Raw genomic sequence first — 12,493 nt, 5'->3', positions numbered from 1 at the left:
AATCCATTACATGGAACTAAGAAGTCCATAGATCAGGCAGGCATCAGGCACAGTTTGAGCAGGACTTTGGCATCATTTTCTGTGATGCGTAGCCCCTCCCCAGGCAAGTTTTGTTATCATGGCTAGTTCCCTCATGGTAGCACAATGGCTGTAGCAGCCCCAGCCCTTACTTTTGCAATAAACTCCTTCCAGAGAGAAAGAAAGCATCTCTTTCTCCATCCAACAAACCAGATTTCTGAGCTTAAATCTTATCGAACTAATTTAGGTCAAGTGCCTTTCCTGTACTAATGATGAAGGCCTAGAGAACCAATGGAATTAAGCTGCTGGGTTCAAGCCCATCAGAGCCTATTCCTGGAGCTGGGAGTGGGATGATTCCATCTCAACTGCTACAGGACAGGGAAAGGTTGGTGCATGTGTTGGAAGACACATCAACATCCACTACAAGGCTCTCTAGGGACAAGGGAAGTGGAACTGATATTCTTTGAGCACCTGCTATGAACTAAACCCAATGCATTTTGACAACATATTGCATGGTAAATAATTTTACTTCCATTTTTGAGATGAGTCAACGGAGACTGAGAAGTTTGTAGCTCATAACACTCTTGAAGTTAGTAAGTGGTGGACTATGGGTCCAAACCTTGCTCTTGGCATCTTCTGAAGGGTTTCTGGCTCTGTTGCCTCTCTCTCCTTCTTCAGACCCCTCAACCCTCCTTGAAGTTGGAGAGCTGTGATTGGGGGATGCTGACATAGTGATCTGAGGATTTCTAAAGGTGGACAGAATCCAGTGTTAACAGTGCCAGGAATTTGCAGAATATGCTAATTTTCCCTGGCACCATGACTCAATATTCTCCTCATCAGATTGTTTGGCAAAGGTACCAAGAAGGCAAGAAGTTTATTAAGGTCCCATAACAACTAATTATGGGCCAAGAACAGCAAGAGCCAGGAGGCCTGAGTTCTAACTATCTCTTATCTCTGTTGCTTTAAAATGTTCCTTGTATCCTGGGCTAAAGTGTTTCTGTTTTTGGCACTGATGGATGCTGTGGGCACCTTCATCCAGGCTTCTTTGATGGGTCTCATTTTGGTCAAGACACCTTCACCCCAGGTCTGATTTTGAGCTCCTTGGGGCCTTCCAGAAACTCATTCCAATCTAGCAGACCTCCTTACCTGCCTCCTACCTGAAGGCTCCTGGCAAACCTTTGTGTCCTTCGGGGTCTTACATCTCATACCTCCCTTAGGAGGGGCAGGACTCATTTTCCCTGGGGGACAGAAGGGGAAACTGAGGCTCAGAGAGTTAAGCTTCTTGCCCAAGGTCATGATACCTGATGACCAGAGACAGGCTGTGAACTTGGGTCCATCAGACACCAGTGTCCAAGTGTGCCTCTTCTGTGTGGGGCACTGGGAAGAGATTTGAAGGGAAGATGGCATGCCATCTGTGTTCTGAAGGATGAGGGAAAAGTTAAACTATTAAGTGATTCTTTCATTGATACAGGGCTTTTCAGATTAGTGTGTCATTGCCCATGGAAGCATCCATTCATTCAGTTATCCATCCGTCTCTTCAACAGCTGTTTATGGAACACTTACCATGTGCTAGGCACTGAGGATACACTGTTGAAGAAACACACACAGTTTCCCTGCAGGGACCTTCCTTCCAAAGCTCTGAGAGCTTGGGAGGGTCCCCAGATCTAGACAGTGTCCCCCATGACTGCAGCTCTCCATATAGAGCTCAGTAGGAATGTGCTGTCTTCTCTATACCTTCTATTAGAAGGAAAGAAGAGAAGGAAAGAATGAAGTAAGAAAGAGGACAGAAACCCTGTCTTTATAAAGGGCTATGCTCTCATTATATAATGTCTCAACAGTAGTGAGAGACACACCAGATGTCAAATCATCATTCCCATTTGACAGACTAGGAAACTGAGGCTTGGCCAAATGATGTGATTGGTCTAAAAAATCACACATATTAAGTGAGTGACATTACTAGGATTCACTTTGGTCCCCAGACTCCTCAGTTACATTGCCCTTCATGCCAATCAGATGGCAAAGGGGAAAATGTCAGTTAGCTCCCTCCCTCCCTCCCTCCCTCCCTCCTCCCTCCTTTCCTCCCTCCCTCCCTCCCTTCCTTCCTCCTTTCCTCCCTCCCTCCCTTCCTTCCTTCCTTCTTTCCTTTCTTTTCTTCTTTCCTTTCTCCCTCCCTCTCCCCCTCCCTCCTTCCCTCCCTTTCTTCCTTCCCTCCTTATAAGAGATATAGAGAAGATGATGCATTCTTGCTAGGCTCTATGTGGAGAGTTGCAGAGTCATGGGGGACATGACTTTGCAACTAGACCTAGGGACCCTCCTGAGCTCTCAGAACTTTGAAACCAAAGTCCCTTGCAGGGAAGCCGTTAGCATGCCTGCAAGTCATTGCAGCCAACCCAGGGTTTTTAATCAGGCAGCATTTAAACCATCCCATTTTGTCTGTGATTACGCCCGGATGTTTACATCATTTATAATGAGACAAATTGGGACAAATTGCCAAGGACACTTATGTAAATGAAACCAGCAGAAATGCTCCCATCTCCAGTGGTCGGTTGGAGGGCTTCTTTCACTTTCCTTTCTCCCCTGGGGATGTCGTGGAGAAGAAATGGTACTTTGTATTCTGAAAACCTCCTCCCTGGGCAAACAGACTATTCCCTGTAAGACAACTGTTTTATATCTCCGGTTGTAATTCTCTCCTGCATCTTATTTACTCTCTCACCTACCTCGAAGGAAAAGTAAGTGTGCAATAGATGCAATCACTTTAATTTTCTCTGCCATTCACTGCACAGAGAATGGGTTAGATCTGCATTCCCTGGAGGATCTCTGCAGAACTGTAGGTGGGTCATAAAAAAAGAATCCTTCATTCAATTTAGTTTGGGGAACAGGGCTACAAAAGTTAGCCCAGAGTTTTTTCCTGCAGGACATTTCAGAGCCTTTGATATGCTAATGAGCAGTGAGACTCTTTAAGAGCAGATGGTGCTTTTAGGACCCTGGAGGCCCCATTGCAGGAGATCTTTTAGGGAATTGAGCAGAACCAGCTTTGGGAAAGTGCTGTGAACACTATCTCTAGAAGGGCCTGGACCCCCTCTGTCTGCTGTAATTTGTAAGGCTGGTGGCTTAAGATCACTTAGAGTCTGGAGGGTGAGGTCCCTCAGTGGGCAGCAGGCAGCAGCAGCCAGGGACATATGGAAGCCAGAAGATCACGGTGCATTGTCTGGAGGGGTCAAAACCTGACAGTGGTCCAGCTTTCCACTACCCATCTTAACCTGCCGGCTCAAAGAGATCTTGCTTATCCGGCCTTTTTGTCTTTGTTTCTGCTGTGTCCCTATCTGGGATGCCTTCATGCCTTCTCTCCTCTCCACCCTTCTTGTCCACAATGCCCCAGTCTGAGTGCTGACGCTTTGCAGGGAAGGCCTGTTATCTTGTAATGCTACCTTGTCTTCCCCTCCAGACCTGGGGTCTTCATTGCAGGGACCCTGTGTTCCTATTTTAGCTCAGAGAAAATATTTGTTACACATTCACTAGGTACCAGATTCTGGGCCCTAGAGATACCAAGACAAATAAGACATGGACCCTGGCCAGAAAGAGTGTGCTGCTTGGTGGAGGCGACAGATTAGAAATCCCAGTTACAACTCAGTGTCATAACTGGGGTGATGAACAGGGAAAATCAAAGAGCAGAGGTGGGCAGAGGGGACCCTAGCCCAGCTCAGGGACATCCAGGAAGGCTGAATTCCAGAGGACATTCAATCCAAGCAGTGGCACAAGGCAGAAGTAGGAGTTAGCCAAGTGAAGGCAGGTGTATGGAAGCATGTTCCAGGCAGATGGAATAGCCTGGGCGAAGGTCTAGAGGCAAGAGAGAACATGCAGGTTTAAGAAACTGGATGAAGGTGCAGTGTGGCTTCCTTTGGGGCAGCATGGAGGGTCCGAAACTGATGAGTGCCAGATTGAGTATCTAAGGAGGATGCTGAAGAGGAGAGCATGGAACCCCACCTCTTTCACATTACAGAAGGAAACTTGGGCCAGAGAGAGGTGGGCTCTCATGGTGAGCACACAGACGTGAACGCAGAGATGCCGCCATCCTTACCCAGCCCCTGCAAGGCCTTCCTTCCAACCTGACTCTGAACAAGAAATTATTTCAAAATGAGAAGCATGCTCCAGACTGAAGGCCTGTGTCCTGGCCACTGTCCTATCTGTCGAGACAGTCATTATCCACCTTAACTACGATGATGTGAAGCTCCACGGAGATGGGATGCCTTTTCCCTTTGATCCCTGATGAATCCCAAGGCCCACCTCAGTGTGCCTGGCCCAGGGTAGGTGCTCAGAAAACATTGTTGACTAAATAAATAAATGAAGAAAACAGTTATGAGTACCAGGCCCTTCTACATTTATGATCATCTTACCAATTCTCAAAACTACCCTATGGAATAAAAACTGTTATTCTCAATTTTTGGGGAGGCTCAGAGAAGTGAGTGATTTGAGCCTATAAGGGTTCCATCATCAGCCATTGGAAAAGCCAGGATTTGAATCCAAATGTGCAGATTCCCACTACTCCATATTTAAAGCCCTATCAAGTAGACATGACATTTCTCAAAAGGCTGCCCCCTGTGAAAGTGGTCTTGTTCCCAAACATCTCAGTCCTGCCTCTTCCAAGGCTGATGCAACTCTCGCCTTTCTGGAGGAAAAATAATAGTAAAACAACAACAAACCCAGCTACTGTTTATTATAGGAAGCACTCACTATGTGCCAGATGCGTGCCAGGACATTACTTGTACCAACTCAATTAATCCTTACAACAACCTTATTATGTAAGTACTATTAGTATTAGTGCTTTATGTGTCAAACGCCATTTGACACATAAAGAAACTGAGGCAATTTAAGTAGTTCCAGGTCCCAGTGTATGAGTGGTGAGGTCTGAATGCAAGGACAGCAGCTGGGCTTAGAGCCTGTAATCCTCTGTTACCATGGCAAGTGGAGGGTACCAGGTGCCAGGGAGTCTTCCTTGCCCTTTGCCAGCTTTAACCTGGTGGAAAAGCCCAGGCTGCTGGGATTCTCCCTGCAAGGAACTAGCAAGATCGGGATTGTGACGGTGATGAGCCTTTTCCTAGGACAGACAATTAATCAGGAGTATTAATGAAAATGCCAGCTCCATGATTGCAGAAACTTAAGTATTTTATTGGGAACTGAACTCAGGCCATTAAAATGTTATCACAGGCTTGTCAGTCTGCGTTCCGTGTGCTTCTGCGAAGGAGCCACGGTCTTAATGAAACTGTTTGGTGCTTTTGGAGCTGACGGTTCCTGAGTGTGCTCTGCCAGGAAAGGTGATTCACCACAGTAGCTACGTGCCCAGGCTGTGGGAAAGTGGCTTTCATGTTCTGTTTTTTCCTTTTTTTGTTTTTTGATTTTTGAGATGGAATCCCACTCTGTCGCCCAGGCTGGAGTGCAGTGGCGCGATCTTGGCGCACTGCAAACTCCACCTCCCGGGTTCAAGTGATTCTCCTGCCTCAGCCTCCCGAGTAGCTGGGATTACAGGCGCCTACCACCACGCCCAGCTATTTTTTGTATTTTTAGTAAAGATGGGGTTTCGCCATTTGGCCAGGTTGGCCTTGAACTCCTGACCTCAGGTGATTCACCCGCCTTGGCCTCCCAAAGTGCTGAGACAACAGGAGTGAGTCACTGCACCCGGCCCATGTTCTGTTTTGCTTTAACCATCTGTGAAGCTCCTACCTTACAGCACGCACTGAGAGGGGGTGTAAACAACAGAGAAACAGGCCTTGCCCTCAAGGAGGAATCAAATACATAAAGATGGTAATGTGGATGTGCAGGAATGCAGTGATGTTAGAAAGCTCAACTCCAGCTGAAGGTGGATGGGAGGCTTCTGGGAAGAGACAAAACAATGCAAAGAGCATTTGTTTCCTGGTGAGTTGCTTCTCTCCCTCCAAATCTGATAGGGCTGATTGCAGAAAATGGTTATCTGAAGGTTTAGTGTACAACAGGCATTCTCAACGGGGGAGAGAATTGGTTCTTGTGGGAATGCACGTGTGAAAAAATCCCCTTTTTACGTTTAAAAAACAGATTTTGCATAAAGTATGTAAACAGAGAATATATTTCTGGTATTAAAATTTCATGGTTGGTTGGGGTGATTAAGAACAAAAAGTCTCAAAAGGCAATGATGAAAATGAAGTTGAGATCACTGGCAAGCTGCCAACACTTAGAAGATGGCACCACTGGAATGCATGTGTCCTCCTGGCCATCTGGCAGATAAGAAACTGCATGAATTATAGCCCCTAGTGAGGAGGGGGCCCTGAAGCCTCAGACAGCTTCCACTGCCTGCCGAATGGGCTGACTGTGTTTACAGCATTCCTTTTCTCCCAACCCGGACCAGTAGCATCCTGTCAATGGCCCCATCTGCAGGGAATCAGGCTTTCCTCCTGGCTGCGGCAATATTTAGGAAGATGATTAGGGCAATTCCCAGGACAGGCAGTCCTTCCTCGCCAGCTGTTCCCATCTGCTTTGTGACACAGCCAGATGAACCATGCCTCCCCGAGGGACACATCCTCAACAATTGTGTTTCCAGGGACTTGTTGGTGGCTATGCAGGAATTGAACACTTCACTTCATCACCTCCCCAGTAGACACCGGAGCTGGGGCCATCTCTTGTTGAACTTATTCTGTTCAGGCTGGAAGCCACTGATGCATTCATGCTTGTTCCCTCTCCAGGGCCACAAAGAGCCAGCCACACAGACACCAAGTGGCCCCTGTGAAGGATTCACATGACACAACAATACCCATGTTTGGGCCTTGAGTTCCCTTTTTAAGAAGCTCTTTGTCATCCTTCGTGGTCTAATATGACCTTTTTTTCTGACACTTCTTTATAAATTTAGTTATTTATTTTATTAGTAAGAACAGGCTAGGATCTGTGACAGTAACAACCCCCAAATCTCAATGACTTAAAATACAAAGGTACATTTCCAGCTCCCGGCCCTCCCCGCCTCCTTTTCTTCCCTTCTCTTCTTCCTCCTTTCCCTGTGGTCTCCCCAACTATTTCTCTCCCTCCCATCTCCTTCAGGTTCAAATCTTGGCTCTCTCACTTATTAGCTGTGTAGTTTTGGACATATCACTTTATTATTTTCATGCCTCTGTTGCTTAATCTTTCAAGTAGGGGGCATTAATAGTACCTATTAATGGAGTTTTGGGAAGCTAAATAAATTAGTGCATATAAAGTCCTCAAATCACACTTGACATAAAATAAGCACTCAATTAATGTTTTGTCTAATTATTAGCTATTTTACTCTGTCTCCAGGGAAGGGATGTGACAATGAATTAAATAGGCTTTCCCCTCACAGGCTCAATGGATGGAGCGATGGACACACACAGGTAGTGGCAGGGATCCATGCAAAACCGGTGGGAGGCGAGATGAGGAATCCAGCAAGAGGCAGAGAAGGCCAAACATGGAGAGAGATTTAAGCTGGAATTTCAGGGAAACACAGGCATATGCCAGGTGGAGACAGGGTGGAAGGGCATTGGGAACAAAGGGATCAGCTTCTGGGGATGTCTTCAACAGAGGAGAGGCACGTTCAGGTGTGAGTTCTAGAAAAATGTGCTATGCTGGGTGTGTGTATGTGAAGAGCGGATGGGACCAGGACTTAGCCCTGGGGCGCAGAGGAACCTTCAGGAGGCTATTGCCACAATCCAGGGAGAGAGGAGAGACCTGGGGGAAGGAACCAGCGGGCCCTATAGATTGACTGGGTCTTGGGAGGGGGTGAGGAGTCCACTAGAGGTTTCTAGCCTGCCCCACTTGGGGGAAGGGCAGGACACACGGCCATTATCTGAAAGAAGATACAGCATGGGTCAAATTGAGTTCTCTGAATTACAGCCGGCCACATTTGCTAAAAGCCCAGCCTCACATTGTCAGGCTGGAGCAGGGCGATCCGTCTGTTCTCCTCCTGCCACCATGACAACGGGACTCCACTCCATTAAACCAATTTACTCCATCTTCCTAGACTCAGGAAAATGGGAGCGAGCTCTGGGGAGGCCTTCTGATTCCTGACCTCTGGCTCACCCTGGGAAGCACTGCCTCTTCAGCCTGCGGGCAGAAGACTGGCTGGCTGTCACTCTCCCAAGCTGTTGATGAGGTTTCAGCCATAGGCTCTGGATCCTCCTCTCTAGTCATCCCCATTAGTCTCCGAAAGGGAGCCGCCAGGAGAGCAAGTGCCTCTTACTGGTGATGGCTTAGTTACGCTAATTGCACTTAATTTCTCTGTGCTGTGCCCAGCAGGGGCCTGCTGAGAGCTTGCTAGGCATTTTGCACAGCTGGCTGGCCCTGGAAACCAAGGCATGTGGCTAGGGAGGAAATTTGGAAAAGGGAAGGGATGGGAGAGTGGCCTAGAGTGGGACCCACTCCATGTGGGGTGTTTTCTGGCCCCTCGTGCGTGCAAGCCTTCAATGTTGTCATTGGGTGTCTGTCTGTCTGGTTTCCCCGTGGGCCATGAGCTCGCTGGTTGCAGAGAATCTCTTGTGGACATGATGTGTCTGGCACATATGGAAACCTGACAGGGTAGACAGTTAAGTGCTTGTGGATTAATCGAGGTGTGGGGCCATTATTCACTTGAACATGAACTCCAGGAGGAAAAGTACTTCTGTCTATTTCATTCACTGCTGCATATTCAGCACCTAGGCCAGTGCCTGGCTCGTGTTCAGTTAATATATATTAACAGAATGAATGAACAAATCCTCCCTTCCAGCACTTTGCACAATAGGTGTGGTAGACTGTCATTCAGTAGCGATTCTCCCTTCTCTCTCTGTCCTTCCCAGCCCCACTGCCTGTGGGCTTGGCTGTGTGACTTGCTTTGACCAATATGATGATTAGGAAACCAGGCCTGACTCCAAAGTTCCTGCTCTTTCCTCTGAAAACGATTAGGTCAGGAAGAGGTTACCCTTTGAGGAAGGTGGAGTGGGCTTGGGAGGTGTTGGGAGGTGGGTGTGCCGGGTTCCTGGCAGGCAGCCAAGGCTATGGACTCCAGGAGAGAGGGAAGGCTAGAGAGACACATGCTGTCTGTGTCTTCGACCCTGAGTGGATGTATGTGATACCTCCTTGCAAGGGCTATGTGGATGATTCCACATCTTCTGACCTTTTCCTGCTCTAATCAATTAACCCTAAGCTCTCTGCCATACCCCTCTGGACCTTGGCTGCACTTCGTAGTGTGGTACTTTTCATGGGAATTGACCTCACCTTTCGAAGATGCTGTGGGGCCCAGGGGAGAGAAATGAGCAGCACCAAATGTGAGTATTTGTTCTGCTTAGCTCTTTGGGTCCAGGGCAAGCCAAGTCCCTCTTGTAGCCTGGACTCTCACAGCTATAAACTAGGGGCTTGAACCAGATACATTCTAAGCATCTGTCCTGCTCTAGTTCTAAAAACTGATGCACCTGCTTCCTTCCTGCCCAGCTGGGGCTAAAAAATCAGAGACTAGAATTGCAATATGAGAAAATATCTGCAAGATCCTCAAGAAACACTTGATGAATTTGAGTGCCACTGTCAAGCCAGAAGGCCTGGAATCAAATCCTGGCTTTGGCACTTAATACCTGTGTGACTTTTGAAAAGTCAGTTCATTTTGGGGGGAACTCAGTTTCCTGATGCAGAAAATGGGTAATAATAACTACAGTGCAGAGCTGTTTAAAGGCAAATGATATAAGTGAAAGAACCCCGCACATACTAGGTACTCAGTAAGTTTGGAATATGCATCTGAACAATAATCATCCAGGACAGATGGTGGCAGGAGACATGGACATAGGTTTGATGGCTTGGAGGTTTACCTACAGGAAACACACTCTAGCAGTTCATAATCGTGGGAACATTTATAAGGACTCATTAGCATACTAAGCACCATACTAAGCATACGGTCTGTTAGCCCATTGAATTTTTACAGCAACTCCATGGAATACATAAAATAGTCATTTTCCTCTTATACATGAAGAAACTGAGGCAGAGGGAGGGAATTAAGGGAATTGGCCAAGGTCACTCAGTTAATGAAAGGTGCACCTAAGATTCAAATTTGGGTCAGCCTGGCTCCAGAGTCCTGGCTTCTAACAGCAATGCTGGGATATTCTCCAGGCTTTCACTACTCAGAAGTGTGCATGAGCATGAAACCAGCCCATCATGCTGTGTGTCTGGGTGACATAGCTTGGTGCCTCTGGAACTAATTTCATTAAGCTGTGCCTTGAGAAGGTTTCATGAGTGTATGCTAAGTAGGAAGTTAAGAAAAAGGCCTATTAAGTACATGATGGTGTTTATAATGGGGATTTGGTCAATATAATAGCTCACTGTGTCATGCAGAAATTTCTCTGCGATATCAATGTTAGAAGCTGGTGTGTATTTATTCTAACATAAGTGGTTCGTACTCCTCAGCATGTATCATCATCACCTAGGGGGCTCGTTAAACCAGATGCCTGGGCCTGACTCCCAGATTCGAGGGTGGAGAGGGACAATCTAACAGGTTCCCAGGTAGTGCTGATACTGCTGGTCAGGAGACCATGTCTTGGGAACCACTGCTATAGAGATTTACCTAACAGATCTTGTTTTCTTCTTTGCAAGGGCTGCTAGGAAGCTAAAAGCCAAATTAGGACCCACCCCAGCAAGAGCTCATGCATTTTCCATTCTAGCTTTATGTCCAGCTTCCTTTTTTTTCTTGCATTTTTCCATTTGTCACAATTTACTGACTTAAATGAATGAGCAAAGTAGTATTTGTTTATTTGTTTGTTTGTTTTTAGAGACAGGATCTTGTTCTGTCATCCAGGCTGGAGTGCAGTGGTGTGATTATAGCTCACTGCAACCTCGAATTTCTGGGCTTAAGACATCTTCCTGCCTCAGTCTCCCAAGTAGTTGGGACTACAGGAGTGTGCCACCATGCTTGGCTAATTTTTTGTATTATTTTTATTTTTTGTTTTATTTTTAGTGAGGTCTCGCTATGTTGCCCAGGCTGGTCTTGAACTCCTGGCCTCAAGTGATTCTGCTGCTTTAGCCTCCCAAAGTGCTGAGATTACAGGAGTGAGCTGCCATGCCAGGCCCAAACTAGTACTCTAAAAAAATTTTATGCATCACCAAAAGTCTGTGAAATTGCACAAAAAATAATCAAAAAGTCTGAGTAAATGGATAAGCTCTTGGATCCTCATGTTAGGCTAACATGAGCGTCACACTCAACCTCTCTATGCATGAGTTTCCTCATCTGTAAAATAACTCCTGCTTCCTAATCCCTTTGGAAAGATTGCTTGCGATAACTCATGCAGTGAAGTGCCTAGCCCGGTGCCTGACACAGACAACTCAATAAATGCAAGTGATTATTATAATTATTATCAGGCAAAAAATAAATAAATAGCCTCAGGACAGTCATTGCTCTCTGTTGACCTCCCCATGTGACTGAAAGGAAGAGAGGAAGCGCCTTCTCATTATATTTGTTAGGAAGCCACCCTGGGGAAGACAGTTTTCTCGTTTCCAGTCTTTGCTGTGTACATTCTGCAGGAGAATTGCACCTTTTTCCTGCCCAGAGCACGTGATTCTGAGGAGCACCAGGAGGCCCCATTATATTACTATCACACTGAGGGGAGACAGACATCTCCCTGTTGGAGAGTGATGAAAGGGAACGTGGAGGCACAAAATCCAGGTAGACAGAGCCCGACTCAGAGCCAGGATAGCCTTCCCTGCCTCCGCCCGGGACTGTGCTTCCCACTTGGACTTTTAACTCTTCCTCTAGCAAAGGAGATTTTACAGAGTAAGGGGGGAGTAATATGACTTTGTGGCCATCATTTCTCTGAGCAAAGGGTTTTCCCACACTAATTTTGTCTTTGCATTAATTTTTTTTTTTTTTTGAGACAGTTTCACCCTGTCGCCCAGGCTGGAGTGCATCTCAGCTCACTGCAACCTCTGCCTCCCGGGTTCAAGCGATTCTCCTACCTCAGCCTCCCGAGTCGCTGGGATTACTGGTGCCCATCACCACACCTGGCCAATTTTTGTATTTTTAGTAGAGACGGGGTTTTACCATGTTGGCCAGGCTGGTCTCAAACTCCTGACCTCAGATGATCCACATGCCTCGGCCTCCCAAAGTGCTGGGATTACTGGCGTGAGCCACTGCGCCCAGCCTTGTCTTTGTGTTAATTTCATCTTCATCACGAGTCAGTCAGGTAGACGTGGTTCTCCCCATTTTATGGGTGAGTAAACTGAGGCTCAGAGAAACAAAGTGAATTGCCAAGATCACACAACTGATCTTGTCTGACTTTGGCAATTGTCTTTACAATACTATGACATGAAGCCCAAAAGATCTGCTGCCCCAGAGTTGGGAGCCTGTTCCCCTTTAACTGTGCTTCCTGCTCTTCTATCAGCAGCTCTCAGCAGCAAAGGTTTGCTTTTCGGCTCTGAGGATGGCTGGCAGACAAAAGGGGTCTTTTCTGGAATGAATGTAGTGGTGTCCTTGTTCCTAGGAGACAGATAATGG

General features: G+C 46.8%; 1 protein-coding gene and 1 long non-coding RNA gene across 7 annotated transcripts in view, besides 1 other annotated feature; both read right to left on the bottom strand.

The window, feature by feature from the left end:
• Positions 1-12,493, bottom strand: part of KCNIP1 (potassium voltage-gated channel interacting protein 1) — a 383,146-nt gene that overhangs the window by 116,002 nt on the left and 254,651 nt on the right. The gene's annotated exons all lie outside the window — the stretch shown is intronic.
• Positions 527-2,039, bottom strand: LOC124901132 (uncharacterized). Its single transcript, XR_007059045.1, has 2 exons — positions 1,165-2,039; positions 527-764 (listed from the first exon to the last, which is right to left on the bottom strand). It is a non-coding gene; the product is annotated as an uncharacterized LOC124901132 (long non-coding RNA).
• Positions 8,134-8,870: an enhancer, noted in NCBI's record as "OCT4-NANOG-H3K4me1 hESC enhancer chr5:170038765-170039501 (GRCh37/hg19 assembly coordinates)". NCBI's record gives its function as "activates a minimal SCP1, AML or CMV promoter by ChIP-STARR-seq in naive H9 embryonic stem cells {active_cell/tissue: H9 hESC(naive)}" and the evidence as "EXISTENCE:reporter gene assay evidence [ECO:0000049][PMID:30033119]".

The sequence above is a fragment of the Homo sapiens genome, chromosome 5, assembly GCF_000001405.40.
Source record: "Homo sapiens chromosome 5, GRCh38.p14 Primary Assembly".
Classification (NCBI taxonomy): domain Eukaryota; kingdom Metazoa; phylum Chordata; class Mammalia; order Primates; family Hominidae; genus Homo; species Homo sapiens.
Note: the sequence above shows the minus strand (reverse complement) of the source record. Positions and strands in the feature narration are given on the sequence as shown.